The sequence below is a fragment of the Homo sapiens genome, chromosome X (assembly GCF_000001405.40).
Source record: "Homo sapiens chromosome X, GRCh38.p14 Primary Assembly".
Taxonomy (NCBI): Eukaryota; Metazoa; Chordata; class Mammalia; order Primates; family Hominidae; genus Homo; species Homo sapiens.
Genome location: NC_000023.11, coordinates 72,775,853 through 72,796,467, shown reverse-complemented (window position 1 = coordinate 72,796,467; position 20,615 = coordinate 72,775,853). Strand labels below are relative to the sequence as shown.

At 48.6% G+C, this 20,615-nt stretch overlaps 2 protein-coding genes and 1 long non-coding RNA gene across 7 annotated transcripts in view; 1 reads left to right on the top strand and 2 right to left on the bottom strand.

The window, feature by feature from the left end:
* The window catches only part of DMRTC1B (DMRT like family C1B), a 71,914-nt gene extending 52,336 nt beyond the window's left edge, over positions 1-19,578 (bottom strand). For 2 of the 4 annotated variants that reach the window (NR_170368.1, NM_001386972.1), the window contains exon 1: positions 19,220-19,578. The gene's annotated coding sequence lies outside the window, so the exon portion shown is untranslated. Of the gene's footprint in view, positions 1-5,305; positions 7,071-19,219 lie in introns of those variants that run through there. The other 2 variants (NR_170369.1, XM_047442419.1) reach the window with 2 other exon arrangements.
* FAM236B (family with sequence similarity 236 member B) lies at positions 13,808-14,603 on the top strand. Of its 2 annotated transcripts, none has more exons than NM_001348073.1 (3): positions 13,808-13,943; positions 14,133-14,296; positions 14,451-14,603. In NM_001348073.1, the coding sequence occupies exons 1-3, from the start codon at positions 13,908-13,910 to the stop codon at positions 14,476-14,478; spliced, it is 228 nt and encodes a 75-aa protein (NP_001335002.1). In that variant the 5' UTR covers positions 13,808-13,907; the 3' UTR covers positions 14,479-14,603. The 2 variants fall into 2 exon arrangements, with proteins under 2 accessions (NP_001335002.1, NP_001335001.1); NM_001348072.1 differs by having other exon boundaries at positions 14,121-14,296.
* FAM226B (family with sequence similarity 226 member B) lies at positions 17,373-19,395 on the bottom strand. Its single transcript, NR_026594.1, has one exon. It is a non-coding gene; the product is annotated as a family with sequence similarity 226 member B (long non-coding RNA).
* Positions 19,579-20,615: the final 1,037 nt, after the last annotated feature.

The window sequence follows — 20,615 nt, the reverse complement described above, 5'->3', positions numbered from 1 at the left end:
AAAATCCTAGCAATAAACTTAAGCTAGGAGATGAAAGATCTCTACAGTGAAAACTGTAGAACACTGATAAAAGAAACTGAAGAGCACACAAATAAATGGAAAGAGATCCCACATTCATGGACGAATTAATATTGTTACAATGTCCATATTAACCAAAGTGATCTCCATGTTCGACATTTGACATCCCTGTCAAAATACCAATGACAGTCCGGATAGAAAAAAAAAATCCTAGATTTGTATGGAGCCACAAAAGATGCTGATAGCCAAACCAATCCCAAGCAGGAAGAACAAAGCTGGAGACAACACACTACCTGACCTCGAAATATACAAAAGCAACCAATACAACAGGGCACTGACATAAAATCAGATACATAGACCAATAAAACATTATAGGGAACCCAGATATAAATCCAAGCATTAACAGCCAACTGATTTTCTACAAAGGAGCCAAGAACATACATGGAGGATAGGACAGTCTCCCCAATAAATGGTGCTGGACAAACTGTACGTTCACAATCAGAAGAATGAAACCAGACCCCTATCTCTCACCATATACAAAAGTCAAATCAAAATGACTTAAAGACTGCAATGTCAGACCTGAAACTGTGAAACTTCTAGAAGAAAACATAGGGGAAACGTTTCACGAAATTGAACTGGGCAACGATTCTTTTCTTCAGTAAGGCCTCGAAAGCATAGGCAACAAAAACACAAATAGACCAATAGGATTATATCAGACTATAAAGCATCTGCACAGCAAAAGAAACAATCAGTAGAGTAAAGAGACAGCTTACAGAATGAGAGAAATAGTATTTTCAAACTATGCATCTGACAAGGGGTTAATATCCAGAATATATAAGGAGCCCAAACAATAGCAAAATTCATAATAATTCAATTAAAAATTGGGAAAAATGCCTGAATAGACCTTTCTCAAAAGAAGATGTGCAAATGGCCAACGGATATATGAAAACAGTCAACATCACCAATCATCGGTGAAATGCAAATCTAAACCGCGATGTGATATCACTTCGCCCCAGTTAGAATGGCTATTATCAAAAAGACAAAAAGTAGCAAATGCTGGAGAGGATGTTGAGAAAGAGGAACACTTATGCACTGTTGGTGGGAATGAAAATTACTACAGTCATTATGGAAAACAGTATGAAGATTCCTCAAAAAATTGAAAATAGAACTGCTGTGTGATTCAGCAATCTCGTTACTGGGTATATAGCGAAAGAAAAGGAAATCATCACGTTGACGAGACATCTGCACTCCCGTGTTCGTTGCAGCAATATTCACAATAGCCAAGATATGGAATCAACCTAAATGCCCATCTACAGATGAATGGATAAAGAAAAATGTGGCTTGTATATACAATGGAATACCATCCAGCCATAAAACAAAATGAAATCCTGTCATTTGAGGCAACATGGGTGAACCTGGAGGACATTATGTTAAGTGAAATAAGCCAGGCACAGAAAGACAAACACCACATCACCTCACTCAGATGTGGAATCTTAAAAAGTTGATTTCACAGAAGCAGAAACTAGAGTAGTGGTTACCAGAAGCTGGGGAGGGAAGGGGGTGTGGGGCAACGGGAGAGGTTGGCAAAAATGTAAAAAGTTACGGTTAGACATAAAGAACGAGTTCTGGTGTTCTATTACACAGTAGAGCGAGTATAGAAAATACCAATGTAGTGTATACTTCAAGATTTTAAATCTAGAAGATTTTAAATGTTAACACTGCAAAGAGATGATAAATGTTTAAAGTGATGAATATGGTAATTACCCTGACTTGAAGATTATACAATGTATACAGGGGTTGAAACATCACACGGTACCCCATAAATATGTACAATTATGTGTAAGTAATGCATTTTTAAATCATGAATGAAAAGAAAAAGAAGCTTAAGAGTGTGCCCGAAACTCTTACAGGTGGAAAGCTCTGTAAGGGTACAGCTCATTACTGTGCCGCCAGCCCTCAGTGTGATCTTGGCGCATGGAACTATGGTGATTCTATCCCCAGTGTGCAGAGTACCTCTGACACCTAACTCAATGAGCATTTATTAAATGTAAATAAAACCAACCAAACAAAAAGAAAACTGAGGTAAATACGAACAACCTCACATGGTTGTGGTGAGGCCTGAATAAAGCAGTCTGTATGAACACCCCAAATGAAAAGTGTCCATGCAAGAAGACACAGGAAACAAAATGCAAACACAAGTGAGAGACAGGGAGCAAACATCTTCTTCAATTATAACAGACTAAATAATCACATTTGCAATATACAGAGAGCTCTGATGAGACAACTCAAGAAACACATGCGAGAACAAACAACAATAGAAGAGCTAACAAACAATCTGAGCAGGCCATTTATAGAAATACAAATGGCCACTATGAAAGGAATAGGAGCTCCACATCACAAGTCATAATGGAATTAAGATAACAGTGAGATTCCACTTTTCAAACTGCAACCTGACAAACACTTAAAATTATAATGATACCAATCGGGTATCATATACTGAGGTTCTGACGCTGGTAGTGTGAATTGGCACAGATTCACGCTACGCGCCAAATGTGCACTCCACATTTGGAGTGCCATTTGTCAGGGATTAAACAGTTTTAATATATTTACCCTATGGTGCATCCCCAAATTCTTTCTTCCTCCTGACACCAATCATAACTAGAAGTAGGGTGGGAAAACTGATGCTTCCTAGACCAGAGCCCTGGGGGCTCAGATGCCACTGTCTCAAGGCCCATCACAGGGTCCTAAAAGGGTTCTGTCAAGCCCTTGACAGACCCCTGGGCATCCTCAAGGCCAGGACCTTGGAAGGCTCCCGTAGGCTGAGCCTGAGCCTTGACTGAGCAGCCTGACTCAAAAATTATAGCTAAAAATCTCAGGGCTCCGTGAGACACAGTTTTCTACATCCATGCTTCCCTCAAGCACCCTACGTTGGCTTCCACTAATGCACAGAAGAGAAACCTGGAGTTTGATTGTGGATCCCCAGCAATGCTGGGGTTCGGCTCACTGGGAATTTAGGGGTAGTTTCAGGGTTGTCTACTCACTGAGTTTCTTGACATGAAGATGGAGCTGGTGGGGGGAAAAATATAATTGGCAAGTACCCCGGTTTGAATTTCAGTAAACCTTAAAGATAACAATGCAGAAATAGATCTTCCCTTAAGTCTTTAGGCTTATATAAGTAGAGTAATGTGAAAATCAGAAACCATCACTTTCAATTCGTCATTTAATCATCTACATGAGAGTCGCGTTGTGGGGCTGGAAGCTGATTAGAGTGGGTTCAAGGGGGAGTCGGGAGAGAGGAAAGGGAAGCGATGATACTAGTCAATGAGGCATCTCAGCACGTGAGGGAGTTTACGAGAATGTATCATCAACTGCTTGAAAAGAGCATACTCATCTACAGGAGGGGAGGGTGAAGATCCAGGCCAGGGACACGGGGATGGATTTTCACAGGGGGGGACAGGCCCTGAGCCAGAGGCCCAGCACAATGAAGAGTTCTGCCGGCCTCTGACAATAAGTCCTTTCAGACACCACATGTACATCGCACTTCTCAGAAAACATGAACTTCACTGGCATTCCTGCTGCTGCTGAGTCCTGATCTGACTGTATGGAGAAAGCCGCATCCCCCAGACTGGTGCTCTCAGCTTTGCAAGGTGGGCAGCTGCAGTTTTTAGCCTTCCCAAGGAAGAGCAAACTCTTGAGGACCTGGTGAGCCTGATTTCCCTCCAGCGTGGCAGATAGTCAGCCCCAGGAGAGCTGGGATCTAGATCTCTAGAGTTCATTGCTGTATCCCCAGTACCTGCAACTGATCCTGGTGTACACAAAACAGGCCCCCAGCGAACACCCGACGAATGAAGGAAGCAATGTTAGTGCTGGCTAGAATGATTTTTCCCTATTTTCCTGAACGGAACTGGCTCAGCTAAAGACACTATGCCCTTGGTTTATTTTGCCAACACCATAGAGGACCAGGCTTGCCCAGGGAACCTGCTCTTCTGAGAGGGTGTTGGAGGAGCTGGTTCCAGGGAGCCCTGACATGTTTCACCAAGTGCTTCAGGTGAGAGCCTCTGCCTCTCTCACTGCTCACCGCCAAGCCCACCAAGAGAACCTCAGGCCAGGCCAGAATCCCCAGGGCTCCCAAGGGTCCAATTGTCACTCTGTTTTCCTCCCTAGGGGAGGATACCGGACACTCGGAAACTGAGACCACGGGGGCCGCAGACACAGAGCCGTGAACGGTGACCACGCCCCTTCGGCTGCTCCATGCCCCTGCTCACCCCAGTGGGCCTGAAATACATACTGGCACACTTGACTCTTTTGGTGTTATGATATTTGATGTCCCTCTCCACATGAATATCCACCTCCTGTGATTTATGGTTTGCCTCTTTCGGTGAAGGTGGCAGGGAAGGGGGTCGCTGTGGAGAGAGAGTTAGGCACGGGGTACCTAGCCAAATGGGTTACTGTCCTCGTACCTTGGAGCAGTACTGCATGTCCCCCAGTCACTTTTGCAATAGCACAATGGTTGATGGACAGTAAACATGCTACTGGTTTCAAACACTTCATATAGGGTGGCTGATGGGCACTGACTGAGTGATAGCCCTTGGGCCGGAGAGGAGGGCTGTAGGTTGAGGGACAGGGAGGTGAGGTCAGAAGGAGAGAAGATGTCACAGAATCCACAGGAAAGGCTTCAGAGGCATTAAGTTATAATCTGACCACAACAACCCCCACCTCAACCTTGGAGAGAGCCCCTCCAGCACATGGCCTCATATCCATCACCTCAGGTTGTTTGTCTCTTATTATGACACCGTGTCTCTTTGTAAGCTGCCCCTGATATATATTGCAAGAAAATAGCAGCAGTGGGAAGAGCTGAGTCTGGTGGATGCTTCCCAGAACTGGAAAAAGCCCAGGCTTCTCCGGGATGGCTCTGCTCCTGGCTAAGGTTCTGCCATGGGAGTCCAGCCACCTGCAGTCCCGATCCCCACAGCCTAATGGAACCACTGGGTTCCTAGGAAACTCACAAGTTCACAATGCCACCCCCCAGCTTGACGCATTTGGCTCTGAGACACGCCTGGGAAATGTGGAGTCCAGGGGTCCTGAGAGCCCCCTCCTTCTCTTCTGTTTTCTACTTTTAGAGTATTGTACTACTGAAATATTTCAAACCTACAGAAAAACAGAGAGAAGAATACAGCAGCCACCATCCCTACTTAAAAATGCTTTGCTATATGTGCTTCACATCTCTCTCTGCTTTTGAGTTAAATACATTTTGGAGACACACAAACCATCCCCAATCTATACTCACTCCTCTCCTCCCTAGAGTAGGTCCCCCATCTTAGGCGTCTGAACACTTCTGGGTCTCCACGCAGCTTCAGAGCAGCTCCTTCTCTGGCATGGGTGCTCCCACGTTGCCTTAGAGATGTTTCTGTGATGCCTGCTGGAGAACTTGGGGGGATTCTACCCAGAATCCCAACCCAGAGGGTAAAAGCAAGAACATCTCTGCAGCTTTCACAGATAACTCTGGACCCAGCCCTCTCCCACCTGTACCCGTGTTCTCCTGAGGTGGGCCCTGTCTCAGTGGGAGAGCTGAGCCCTTCACCTCTGTTTTACCAGGAGAGGCCTGGAGCACCATCCTGGGTCCCAGTCCCACCCGAGTGATGGGTGTGTGCTTCAGTCACAGGGAGCAGGTCCCTTTTCAGCTGCTGTGACATCTCATGGGCTCAGTGGCCAGGAGTAGCTGGTAGGTTTGGGGAGGAAGGCAAGGCCAGGCAGACTCGAGTCCTGGGCCTGCTGGAAGAGAGGTGGGATCAGATAGATGCAGGCCACATAGCACAGTCCAAGGTGGCCCATCAACCATTTGCTCCGTCAAGGTGGTTGATACCCAAAGGGGCTCACTATACTGAGGTGGGTGCAGGAGCAGGTGTGGTGGGCAGCCTTCCAGAATGGCTTCCAAGGATCCCCCTTCCTGGCACCCATGCTCCTATGGAATTCCCTCCCCTTGAGGGTGGGCTGGACCTAGTGGCTTGCTTCTAACCAACAAAATTTGGCAAAGGTGATGGCGTGTCATTTCCATGCTTAGGCTATAACAAGACTGTGACTTCTGACCTGCTGGCATTCATTCTCTCCCTCAGGCTCTTCCTGCACGCGTGTTTGCCCAGATGGAGAAGGCCAGCTGGCGAGGAGCTGATGAAAGTCTCTGGCCAACAGCCATAGAGGAACTGAGGCCCTCAGGCCAGCGACCCACTAGAGCCTGCCAACAATCACATGAGTGAGCTTGGAAGTCTATCTTTCCCCAGCTGAGCCTACAGATGAGGAACTGGATCCTGCCAACAGCCGCATGAGTGAGCTTGGAAGTCAATCCTTCCCCAGTCAGGCCTACAGATGAGACTGTTGTCCCTGGGCTGGCAGCCTTGTGAGAGACTGGGAAGTAGAGGATCCAGTTAAGCCATACCCGGATCCCTGATCTACAGAACTCTCAGAGAAAAACTGCTTATCATTTTAACTTGATATGCTTGGGGTAGTTTTTTATGCAGCAATCAATAACAATTAAGACAGCAGGAATATCTGGGGGCTAGGGACTGGGTGCAAGACACAGAAGGCTCCATTAAGGCTGGGAGGGGTTCTCAGGTGCCAGGGTGGTGCATGGTGCGCCCACGTTTTAGTCAGACCTGGGGTCAAGTCCCAGCTTTGTCAGTAAATATCTGTGTGACCTTGGACAAGTATCTTGAAGTCTCCGGCTCCAGATTACACCCTGTAAAATTTGACTGACATTGAACTTGCAGGACCGTTGGAAAGATAAGTGTCAGCTTATGTAATCCACACGACAGAGTGTCTGATGTGTATTAGGCCCTCAGTAAGTGGCAGCCATGAGTAGTAATATAGTTGACCTGGGACCCTGCATCCTCCTCTTGGGAGCTCCCGGGTGACTCCGGGTCATTCCAGTGCCAAAAAACAAAAACCAAAACCCAAAAACAGTGCAGGAAAAATATCTTCCTAGCAAGTAGGACAAAGGCGTCTGTTCTCCAGGAAGAGAGGCCCATCACAGTGGATACTTTTCCAAAAATTCTGGTGTGAGGGAGGCAGCCCCAGCAGGCTGCAGCTCATAGGCCATATCCCTTATGCAAAGGACCAAATGCTCTCCTCCCTCCCTCCCTCCCTAGATTCCTCTCTTCCTCCCTGCCCCCATCCATCCCTTCCTCCCTCCCTCCCTCCGTCACTCCCTTCCTCTCCCTCTCCTCACTTTCTCTCTCTCTCTGCCTTCCCCTCTCGCCGAGGCCTGATTCCAATATCTTTACCCCACAATTCTGCCTCTTCACACTCATTTGACCCCTACTAGAAACCCAGCCCTTCTTTATGTCATCCTGGTTTTATTCTAGATGAACCCATATCAATGTCCTCATTATGCACTGTTTGCCAGCTTCCCCAGCCACACAGGATGGTATCCGATCACTGGCTTCTAGGGAACAGCTTGGGTGGGCATCACTCTGACCTCACCATTGCGCTTTAGAGTTGGTGTGTTTAGAAGGCCCAGTGTATGCACTGTAGAAAACTGCACAGGGACGGGAGCCCAGGACTCATCCTGGACCAGCAATGGAGACTTCCTTCTATACCATCCAGATCCAAATGAGATGATTCTGTGAGAGCCCCTTTCTATCCAGGACATTGTCTCTCATCCCTCAGACTTTCCATCTGGACATCTCAACTCTGCTCCTCTCCTACAGCCTCGTCTCTCTCCACAGCGTGGCTAAAATTTGCCTTCAGTACCCCCGAAAATAGCTGTTAATTCTGCCCTGCCTCAGGGCCTTTGCATTATGGCTCTCCTCTGGAGCCACCATTTCCTTGCTCAGCCTGTCACTTGTCCTTTTGATCTCTGATGTTCCTACCCTCAAAAAGAACACGTCCTTCTTCCCTTGGTAACATGTCTCCCCTCCACCATGCCAGTCCCAATCACAGTCTCCTCACTTGACTGTCTCACCATAGTGATACATTTTCTCTCTGTGTTACCTTGAGGAAGTTGCTATACCTTTCTGGGCTTCCATTTCCCTATCTATATGATGAAATATTTGACTAACACACAAACATACTGTGTACTCTTCTCTATCATAGCATTTCTCATGCTAGACTGCCCCCTCTGGCAGCTTAATTTGCATGACTGTCCTCACCCAGGTTCTCATCTCTGGAGCATGAGCTCTGCCTTGTTAGTCCTGGAACAGCCAGTACCTGGACACAGGGCTTTACCTACAGCACGGCACCAATAAACCTTTATTGAAGAAAACAAATCAATGAGCATGTGTCCACCAGAGCTTTGCTGTGCCTGGACTCTCTGATCTGGGATAAGGGTGAGAAGTATTCCTTTTATTTCCTCTAGCTTGGAGCCCAGAGCCTCCTGCTCAGCAGGAACCAGATGTTTTCAATGTCTGGACTCAGAGCTGTCTTCCTGGAGGTGCTGAGGCCTTTTCTCCAGTCCAGAAATGAATCTGGGCTGGCTGAATGTGGGTAGGGCAAGGGATATGAGACTGTGTGGGACACAGATATGGATGAAGCTGCCACTGTAGCTTAAGAGGCTCAGGCCCAGGGGACAAGATTTGAGGCCACCTTGTTCCCTCCTTCCTTCCCTTGGGCTCAGAGGGAGGACCCTTGTCTGCAACGATACCACCGTCCAACCAATCCAGTGGGTTACGAGGGGCCATAACTTGGAAAACAGCAGTCAAAACCCAAGTAGTCATAGGGGATTTAATAGAGCAGGGCTTGGTGTCAAGGGGACCTCACCTCTAAAACACACACACACACACACACACACACACACACACAGAGAGAGAGAGAGAGAGAGACAGAGAGAGAGAGAGAGAGAGAGAAAGAGAGAGAGAGAGAGAGCGAACGCCAGCCTGGAGCCCCCTGTTCACCACCCACCAGAGGCTGATTCACACACCAACACAGCCTCACACATTATATCCTCAGAGGCACAACACTGCTGCTGATTGGGACCTGGCTGCCATGAACCTCCTCAAGCTGTTTGCTGTGATGACCCATTTGCACAGGCTCTTGATTTCTAGAACCTCTCAGGTTCAGGGGAAGACAGGTTTCATCTGTCAGTGTTAGTCACAGTGTCCTCCCTTCACTGTCTCACCATAGTGATACATTTTCTCTCTGTGTTGAGCAAGTTGCTATACCTTCTTGAGCTTCCATTGCCCTATTGACATACTGAAATCTTTGGCTAAATGACCTCCAAATTCTTGTTCTTCTCACACATTTAGTGACCCCGTGGCTTAGGGGACTACTACATTCACAGCTACCTGCTGTGTCAGCCAGCTGCCTAGTTGCAAGTCCCCTGATGGCACTGCTGCCCTGGGGGCTATTATGCCTCCCATGAGCCCCATTGCAAGTATTTTCAGTATCCTCTAAGGATACCCTCACTACCCCCTAAGATACTGCATGACACCATTGGCATCTCACCCTGCCTAAAATTGCTTCTTTTCATACCCCAGAGCTACAGAATGGGTGGGCAGCTGACTAGAGTCTCCCAGGCTAGGTCCTTAGGAGACTATATATATATGTATCACTATCTTATGTCCCATGACAGACTTCAGAAACTCTAGGCCAGGGCCTGGATGCAACCCAGAAGATCCTCAAGGGCTGGACCTTGGAACTCAGGCTAGCCCCTGATTGAGCACCCTCATTCTAGAGAACTGCAGCAGAGGAACTCAGAGTCTCCACTGGGACACACGTTTCTGATCCAGCACCGTTTCATGGTAGCCAACCTTGACTGCTACAAGTGCACAGAATAGAAACTGGGTCTGCTTATTTGCAGTTTCCAAAATCACCTCAGTGGCCTGGTCTTTGTGCTTCAAGTGCTGTTCCTCCTCTCCCTTTCCCTGTCTAATTTCTTTCCTCACGCCTTTCAGGCACCTAATCCTCTGGGAAACCTCCACTGACTCCATTAACATCCCCAAGGCTGAGTGGGTGCCCTGTCTGAGCCTTCTCATGGACCCCGAAACTTCCTCCTGTCACTCTCTGTTGTACTCTGTTGTGCCTTTCTCAGCCTCTCCCCACCCAGCCCACTGGAGGCGACATCTGAGTATGGGCTTGCAGGCATGACCAGCCCTGGACCTTCACAGATTCTGTAAGGAAGGCTTTGTCTCAAAACCTTTTATATATCAACCACCAGATTAGCAAATAGTTAAAGGGATGAATAACATCAAGAGCGACGGTGAAGGACAATGAACACTATCCTACACTGCTCCTGAGAGAATAAATTGCTGCCACCTCTTTTCAGATCCATTTATCAACGGCTACTCAGTGTTGAAATATTTGTAGGGTTTTGTGCCAAAATTCTATTTATGTGTATCTCTTCTAGAGCGACACATCCTCTGCAAACAAAGATATTGGAAAAACTTTTGAGAACTTTAAAAGTTGAGGAAAAAAATGTGAAGGTCCTTGTGTATGGAAGTAGTTAAAGAATTATGGCATATCACTTAGAACACTATGCAGAAGTTAAAAATGATGAGACAGTTCTCCATGAACTGACAGGAGAAGTTCACCCAGACTTGCTGTAAAATGCAAAAATCAAGTGCCACACAATACGTGCATCCTGAGCCAGTCTGTATCTTATGGCCCCATAAAAGACAAGCGTATGTTTCTATTAGTGCATGTATGTGTATGTAAATGCATCGATTGAGGAATTTTTGAGGAAACACATTAAACCATTGCTGAGGGGGCTGGTGACGGAGAGGGGTGGACAAGGGAGACTATTGTTTTGTCTGTATTGTTTTCATACACGAGGATTATTTGCATAAATAAGACAGTATTGTAAACAGGTGATATACCTGTACTTACTAGGTCTTTAATAAAAAGAAACTGTTATTATTTGTCATAATAAGAATCACTTCGCCTCTTGCAGGAGCTTCTGCGAAACTTGCGTGCAAGTCAACGAAATTGTATTGAGATCCTCTCATGTACCCAGTGCTTTCACACATATAATTTACCTGTAATTTATCCAGTTCAATCTCAGGGCTGGCAAAATCCAGTTGACCCCTACTCCCTGTAACAACCACTCCAAATTAAAAAATCAACTTTTTCTTGAATCCCTACACACTTGTTTAATCTCAGCTGAGGGAGACATGGTATAAAGCTACGAGGGGCTGACCTCGTAGCCTTTCTCGATATAAATCCCATCCATCCACAGGGTGGTGCGGGGCGGGTCTTATCACCATCACTCACAGCCCTTCCCTGACTCTTTGCAGAACTCTGGGTCCATTCAAGGCAGTTGCACAGAGGCAGCTTATTTTCTCAAAGGAGATTCAGAAAAAAAAAAGGAAATGTTACTGGGCGGGACAACAGGGTTGTCCACCTCACCTGCCATCAGGCTTCGGGGACTGAGCAGCCTGGCCTCCTGGGCCAGCCCGGGACTCCTTTCTTTGAAAAACCGCTAGGTTGGTGTATTAGTCCGCTCGGGCTGCCATAACAAAATACCACAGGCTGGGTGACTTAAACAACAGACATTTATTTTCTCACAGTTCTGCCAGCTGGGAAGTCCAAGATCAAGGTGCTGGCCGATTTGGTTTCTGCTGAAGGCTCTCCTCATGGTTTGCCTCCTTCTTGCTAAGACGTCACATGGCCTTTCCTGGGTGCATGCAGTGCAGAGAAGAAGAGACCTCCCTGCTACCCAAATGTCCCTGCAGAAGCACAGTTGTCACTACCTCGAGATACTGACAGATACAATGAGCTCTGTGGCGTCTCTTCTCATAAGGACACTAATCCTGTAGGAGCAGGGCTCCACCCTTATGACCTCATTTAACCTTAATTGCCTCCTAAAGCCTCTAGCTCCAGATACAGTCCCATTAGGGGTCGGGGCTTCAATATATTAATTGCAGGGCGGGGGAACGCAATTCAGTCCACAGCAGTTGGCAAGGTTTTGTGTTGCGGACCCTCACTTTCTGGCGTTTCTGATTCCCTGCTGTTCAAATGTCCCTGCAGAATCACAGATGTCACTACCCTGACATACTGACAGATACAACTGGCCCCTCATCCTGCCTAAAGCCACCTACTACCACATCCCAGGGTTACTAATGAGGAGGTGAACTGGGTCTCCTAGCCCAGAGGCCCGGCTGATCGATGTCACTGCCTTAAGCGTCATCATAGACGTCAGAAACCCTGGACCAGGCCCTGGGTGCACCCTGGAATAGCTTAAGAGGGCAGAACCTTGGGATGGTTCCCCAGGAGTGATTCCAGCCCCTGAGAAAACTCACTCAAAAACTGCAGCAGCAGGGGCTCAGGGACTCCGTGGGGCACGGTTTTCTCATCTTGTTCTGCCACCTGGTGGCAGTTGGCTGCGTCTACAAGGAAACAGGTGGAAGCTCCATAAAACCTGGGCCTTTCTTCCTGGGAATTTCCAGCAGTTTGGAACAACCTTCCTACTTAGAAAATGAGTTTCTTTATATGAGAATGAAAGTTGTGCTGGGAGATGACAGTGTAGTTACTTGGGTCTTCATTTCTATTCATTTTTTAAGTTAACAATTTAAACCTAGCTTTTATTAAGCATTTAAATACAACTTGCCGGTTTGGTCATTTTAATCACATAGCTAGTCATATACAACTATAAGAAACATTACTTTCACTTGTTCATTGGTTCATGTTCAATTAACTCCTAAGTTTCAGTGGAGTGGTGTAGGAGAAAGCCTAACTGGAGTAGATTCAAGGAGAGAAAAGGGAGATAGGACAGACAATGAGACCTGCTCACTTCTTGGAGGAGTTTCTAAGTATTTCACAACACTTGCCTGGAAATTCACAAGATTTTGAGGAGAATTTTTGTACACGTCAGAGGGAATTACGTATTTACATGAAAGCTAAGGGCTCTTTACCTCTGATTTGCACACGAATCCTATGAATCACAGGGCTGTCTGAAACCATTTGAACCCTCCTCTCTGCAGCATACGGTACAAGTGACCACTCAGGCTGTGTTTCAGCACCTCTAATGTTGCTAATCTCATTACCTTACAAAGCCAGCGATGGCCTGGCTGGTGGGAAGGACATCTTCGTGTGAGTCCCATCTGCAGCATCTGTGGTCTTGTTAACCTCTTTCCCGGCTCCTTCCCCTGACCTTGTCTCTCTGCAATTCTGGGTCCATCTAGAACTCTGGTGTGACACCCCAAGAGCAGATGTGATGGCTGAGGTCCAATCATAGGCTTTTAGTGGATATGTATTCAGGGGCAAACACATAATGCTGCATTTACCTCCACACTATGAAGATATACAGAGCCTTCAATACACATCGATTACTCATAAATGTCTACTTCTTAGGTATCAGGATCACTCTTACAATTTCATCTACAAGGTCCAACTGTTAAATGTGAGAAAAACAGTGCACAGTAATGTGACAATAGTGTCCACATGAATGAAGTAGTTCCAGTTTCCCTGGGACTGAGAGCTTTCCCGGGACAGGGGCCTTTAAGTTTTAAAACCGGAATGGTCCCACTCATGGCAAACTAGGACCATGTGTGACCTTGGCATGCAATGAACCATTCATGGCCAAATAAAATGAGCTACCTGTAGAAGACCTCTACACATCATGTTCTCTCGAGGAGGACCCTCGGGGCTGTTCTGCTCAGCAAGCAGAAGCGTGACTCGAGCCTGCTGGGAGGGCCAGGAGGAAGAAACAAAGGAAAGAAAGATTGGAGGAGTGGGAGTAAGAAACACAGGAACAGACGGAATGTGACATACCAGAAATGTATCCCCTGCTGGAGCACAAGGCTGTAGGAGGGAGGGACGATGGGGCAGGGGCAGAGGGGCTGAATGGGGCGTGGAGGGGGCAGGCCCTCGGCCTCTTTGCACCCGGCAGAGTGACGAGCTTCGCCGGTGTCTTCAACGAAGTCCTGTCGGTCCCTACCGGCACATCACACACTCCTGGAAGCATGATCTTCACTCCCTTCCTTCCACCTGCTGACCTGGTGAGTCTGGCTTCCCTCCATTGTCCTGGAATGTCCCCTAGGAGGTTGGGCTTTGGTCTGTGCAGGTCACTGCTGCATCCCCAGCCCCTGCAAGAGGGCCAGAGACACACACAATAGTTGCTGGGTGGGGTGAAGGAAGCCAGGGATGGGAGGGAGCATTAGGATCTGGCTATTTAGTCTGTCTTTCAGAATGTGAAAGGGCTGCAAAACGACCCTGAGGAATGGGTGGCTGTGTCTGACGCCACGGAGGACCCATCCGGTGGCACAGGCTTGCCCAGGGAACCTGCTCTTCTGCGAGGGTCTTGGAGGAGCCGGTTCCAGAGAGCCCTGGCATGTTTCACCAAGTGTTTCAGGTGAGAGCTCCTTCGGAGCACGCCTCTGCCTCTCTCACTGCTCGCCACCAAGCCCATCCGCCTCCCCTTCCTGTTCCACCAAGAGAACCTCAGGCCAAGCCAGAAATCCCCAGGGCTCCCGAGGGTCCACTTGTCACTCTGCTTTCCTCCCTAGGGGAGGATACCGGGCACTCGGAATCTGAGACCACCGGAGCCACAGACACAGAGCCATGAACGGTGACCAAGCCCCTTCTGCTGCTCCATGCCCCTGCTCGCCGCAGTGTCCCAGTCACCAGGCCTGAAATAAATGCTGGCACGCTTGACTGTTTTTGCTTTGTGGCATTTGATGTAACTTTCAACACGTCGGGTGAAGTGGGAGTGGTCAGCTTTGGTGGTGGTGGGGTTGTGGAGGGAGAGAGCTAGCATCTTCCTGAGCCCTGTTAGGCTGTCCGCCCTCCTCCTCGAGGCAGCGCTGCTTGTTCCTGGGTCCTGGTGGCGATGGGCTGTGGCCAATCAATGGTGAGTTTTCCACAGCTGGCAGCTCGGACCCTGGTGAGGCACTTACATGCAGGAATGACGACGGAATAACATCTCTCTTCCCCCAGCAATGCGCACGGTCTTCATATCGGAGGAAAACTGGGCAGTGTTTATATGCAGAGGCGGGAGGGTCATGTGGAGGAAGAATCTGTGGATCTCAGAAAAGGCATTAACCCCTAAACTGACAAAGAGCTCCCAGGCCCCCCTACCCCACCGCAAGAGAGAGAGCCCTTCCAACAGACGACCTCGTCTCCACCTACGCGTTGCTCGTTTTCATAAGAGGAGGGCTTCATTTTTTCTTTCTTTTGCCTTCCTGAGGTGACCTTGATATGTGCTGCAACACAGTATCAGCAGGAGAATTCTACAAAGGGGGTTGGAGCATACTTGTTCCTTTAACCTGTTAGAAATTGCAACACAAGCAATCACCAAGGTCAATGGAGAGACGGCGGGCCTTTCAGACACACAGTAATGGGTGGGAGGACCTCACAGAGGCCCACGTCAAATTACATTGATCTGTTCACTTTCTGAATGAGGAGCTGAGTCCCACGGGTGCTCCCAGAGTGGGGTCCTCAGCTTTGCAGGCTGGGCAGCTCTAGTGTCTCAGCATGCCCAGGGGACAGCAACACTCTCGAGGACCCACTCCCACAGGAGGCTGACCCATCCTCCCTGCTGGCACATTCTCTTGCTTCTCTCTCATTAAGACTGACATAAATCTGGAAGTGTTTGGTGGTTTTATGGGTCAATATCTTTTTACACCTCTTGAGAAAGATATTTAATCGGGATAGGGTTGGCTGTTGGAGATGGAGAGGAGCTTAAGACATACATACGTATCTGGACTCATGTATGTGGTTATAGTCATGGGACAGCATTGCTTCTTCCTAAGTACCTGTTAGGACTGTGACCTATAGACAATGCTTTTTCCACAGGTATCTTGCTATGGCCTTGAGGAGGGCAATTCAGTGTAACAATGCAGAAAAAATATCATCTCTCCCTGCCCAAATGCATATACCCTTCATAACTGACAATGTTTATTGGCTTCAAATGGAGAGCAGGCGGCTCGGGATTTTGAGGAAAGGCCTCAGATTGAGGTACACATAATCAGCTCCAACTATCCCCACCCCAAACTAAGACAGAGCCCTTCCAAAACCCTTTCCCCATTCACCTCAGATTGCATGTTTTCACATTATGATACCCCCACCCCCACTGCACCACCCCACCACCACCACCACCTCCAGCCTTTCCTTGACGCCAGCAGAGGAATGCAAGTGAGGGGTTACAGTGTAATATTCTCTGGATCCTACATATCCTAGGGTAGGCCCTGAGAGAACTGGTGCCAGGATCCCACAGTGTTTGTGACGAAGGGCACAAAAAGGCTTTGCAAGGCCAACGGGCAGGGATGTAAAACATGCATGTCAATCTCTAAGAACTGAAGATAATTTTAGGCTAGTTATTATGATCACTATACCCACCAGGACCATTCTAAGGCATGGAGAATACTGGTCCTTTGAAAACCACGCTGGTGCTGGCCACTGTAATTTTGGTAGGGTTTGGCCTTCATCAGATCCTTCCCTGCTCAGGAAACCTCCATAGCTTCCTGGGCCAGCCAAATCAGGTTTGAGCCATCAAGGCTCTTCCTGGCTTCGCTCCAGGCTAGTCTAGACTTATCTCTCACCCCTACAAACAGTTTTCCCTCTGTATAAACAGGATAACTTATCCATTCTAACATCTAGGCCTTTGTTTCTTAAAACAACAACAACAACTAACCGTAGTCATATAACCCACTGAGCTCTGTCTCTCCCAGGCTTCAGGGGCGAACATCTGCTCAGTAGCTTCTGGGAATCAGCTCCGGTGAGTGCAACACTTACCCCCTTGCCCATCACTCCTTACGGATGCTGAATGTAAAGCACCTGCTGTGTGCACTGTAGAAACTGCACAGGGACAGGAGGCCAGGACAGCTTCTAGGCATGCCACAGGTGGAGTCTTTTCTCTGGCTCATCCAAGAGCCAAGAGCAGCTGCTTTCCAAAGAGTCACTTTCCACTACACGTTTACTTTATTACTATTATTTTTTAATCTCTCAGCTGTGAAGTCCACCAACTGAGGATCCTGGCTCCTGTACAGGTCCCCACCCCCAGATCATCTCTCCCCAGTCTCCCCAAATTCTAACCTTCCAGTTCCACTGAAGAACATGGAATGCTCCCGATGCCCACAATACCCTGCCTCGGGGACACACTGCACTTACTACTCCTTCAGTGCTTCAGATCTCAGATGGCATCTCACTACAAGGAAGCCTTCCTTGTTCCCAGACATCCACCACCCAGGGTTAAGTGTCTCTCCTCCGGGCTCCCATACCACCTGGTCCTTATCCTCATCCCGGCAATTAATACATCAAACTGCCACATCTGGCTGATTTACTTACATGACAGCCCCATCTAGACTCTCAGATGTGGGGCAGAGGCTGAGTCTGGTGCATTCCTCTATCTCCAGCGCCCGGCACAGTGCCTCACATATAGTAGGTAGTCAGTAAATGTATGTTGAATAAATGAGTCGATGAGCAAGGTGTCTAATTCATTGAATTTTTATTTTTCCCTACATTCTGGAGAACTAGGCAAATACAAGCAGAGAGCGGTTGTAATTTTGTGCAACAGACACTGACCGGCTTTTTATTTTATCTTTTTATATTTGGGGGAGGGGGGGAATGATTGTACTGGTAAAGTCTCTCAAACCTCCAAAGAACAGCTTATTCCAATGCTATAATAAGTTACAGGCATAAAATGATATACTCTCCCAATTTCTTTTATGAAACAGCAAATCTCTCCTGCTAAAACCGAAACAGAGAACAATAAAACATTTGACCAACGTCATTCATAGACCTAGATGTTCAACTTAAGTACTCAATCAAGTGTCTATGGAACAAAGGATTTTGAAAAAAATGCTTAGGTATGGCGTTTGTTTCAACTCTGATATAATTCTGTCATCATGTAGTTTTAACCAGTTTATTTCCTGTAAAATGATCATCATTATAAAAGAAAGTTAATTAAGGCAAACAAAACTTTGCAGTATGCAAATTGAAAGCTAAATCACTGAGAAAGACAAATAGAACTGGAACACAGATACCATGGGCGGCAGGTTCTCCCTAACCCCACTCTACCCCTCGACTCTTGAAAAGTCAGGACCCCAGCACCCACTGCTGTGGGGCCCTTTTGACTACCCACAGCAAAACAAAGTGAAGACTCAGCCCCAGCCTTCACTGCTGGCAGGAGGAGTCCCTGACACTAGCCTGAGATTGCAACCACACTGGCACTGTCCCAGGTACTGATACTTGCTCCAGCCATGGCTCTAGCCCTGGCACTGGCAACTGGCACTTGCATTGGTGCTGGTGCTGATGCTTGCTTCAGCCATGGCATAGGCCCTGGAACTGGAACTGGCACTAACACTGGCACTTGTCACGTCACCAACGGCAGCTGCCATCTCGGGCACGGGGTATCTCCTCCTCTTCTCTCAATGCCTCATTTACTGCCACGGAAAGGAACTGGGGTGGGTGTCATTCACTTTGGCCACAAACTCCGGGACTTCCATCTGTCTTGTTTCCTTTGAGAGCCCCCACAAGAATACCTAGAGCGTGGGATTGCTGTGGGACACCTATTTGTGCACCAGATACTCCTGCTGCACACTAGCTTTGGTGATGAGCTTCATGGACTCCCCAAAGACGAAATGCTTTTTAGACGAAATGTGCCTCCAACACCCTCAACACCTCCCAGACCACCTCCTCGGGGACACAGCTGGCCTGCATGAAGATCGAGTCCAGAGTAATCATCAGGAGCCGGGTCTTTGGTGTGCCCTGGTCGCCTGTCAGGCCCCAAACCAGGGCAGGATCGATTTTTCTGATCAAGACATAGGAGTGCTCTGCTGGATCAAGTTCCTTCAGATAGAACCCAAAGACTAACTCGGGGAGGTCAGAGGCTTTCTTGAAAATCTCAGGGAGGAAGCTCCTGTACCTTTTGATGACATACTTCAGCATGTCTGCCCTTTTGATCGCCACCGTCTTCCGGTTCTTAACCAGCAGGTACTGCACCAGCTCAGCTACTTTCTAGCTCACAGGGCCCCTGGGCATGCGCATCAGGGATGTCGGGGGCCGGAGGGGTACTGCGGGGGCGGGGGGCGGCGGGGGCGCGGGGCGGGGCAGACAGTTGCCTAGGGGTTTCTGGGGTCCACAAAGGAACTTTCAGAAGCACCTGAGCAGGGGCTCCATGCCTCAGAAGAAGTGCTCCCAGGGCTCCGGGGAGCACTTGGTGTCCCCGCTGCAGGCGCCCCCGTGGGGGTTTCTTGGGCAAGGAGGAGAGGAGCAGGCCACCGGGCCTCTGAGACCCGCAGGCCCTGGGTGTCACCTCTACCGCGGACGTTCTCACCTGCGGCTTTGGCTGGCCCAGGAAGCAGGAACTCTGGGAAGAGATGCGCGTCCACGGGCATTCGGCGGCCGGAGCGCTGTGTGCCAGGCCGAGAGGACAGTGACGTCGCCGCGGCTGCTGCGGCGGCTGCTAAGAAGACCCGGAGCCCCAGGGTCTTGAGTCGGAGACCGCCGCCCTCAGACCGGGAGGAGGAGGAGAAGGAGGAGGAGGAGGAGGAGGAGGAGGAGGAGCAGGAGGAGGAGGAGCAGGAGGAGGAGGAGGAGGAGGAGGAGGAGGAGGAGGAGGAGGAGGAGGAGGAAGAAGCGGGAGGGGAGGGGGCTAAGCCTCCGCCGCCCGGGTCTTCCCGGAGCTGTGGGAATGGGCGGGCGCCGCCCCGCAGTGCCTCTTCTGGCAGAAAACAGTACCGCAGGCTACAGCCTGAGGGATGCGGGGGCGCTGCTCCCAGAGGTGGGGCTGCTCATGTGAGGCTTGAAAGAGACCATAAGCCTAAAAGCCAGGCCCAGTGTAAGCGCTTAATAACTGTTACCTGTTGTTGTGATGAATCCGATCATTCTGGATTATCTTCGTATCCCTCCTTCTCTCCTGTGGAGAAGGCTCCTAAGAGCGTAGGCATTTCTGTCCAGCGGCTGCCTCTGCAGCTTCCTCTTCAGATCATCTACCTGAAGTTGCTTTGCTCAGTGCCTGGCCTAGAGTAAGCACTTAGTGAGTTTTCCTTTGCGTTCGTTTCATTATTATAGTGTACATCGCATCTACATTGCTTGCACCCTGTGTGGTCATCTAGATGTGGAGGAAGGACCCGGGAAACAAGTGACCTCCATGGAGAACTGAAGATGTGTTTCCTTTTCTTTATGATCAGTGGATCTGGGGTGCACAACATCAGTTCTCTTGCGTATTCTTTCTCTCCTACACAGTCTGGAAAGTTATTGTTAATTGTAATCTAACTTTGCAAACCACCATTCCCATAATGACATCCTCTTCTTGCCTCTCTTACTCTCATGTCACTGCGCCTCATCCTTTCTCTACAGAGCGCTCTCTCCCATTTCACCTCTCATCTGCGATTCGGGGACCTTAAATCGACTCCTGCTTTGAGGTCAGCCCCTAGGAAGCCTGCAAATAAATAGCAAGAAGACTCCTCCACCCTAGCAAGTGCATTCTCTTATTGTATCGTGGTACAACTTAGCATTCCTTTCTTTCATCCTAACCTTTCTAGACAGTAACCAGTATAGCCTCCTCACACATAACAAAACGGTCGACGTCGTCGTCGTCGTCGTTGTTGTTGTTGTTATTGCTGCTATTGAGACGGAGTCTCGCTCTTGTCACCCAGGCTGGAGTGCAGTGGTGCGATCTTGGCTCACTGCAACCTCCGCCTCCTGGGTTCAAGCTTCTCCTGCCTCAG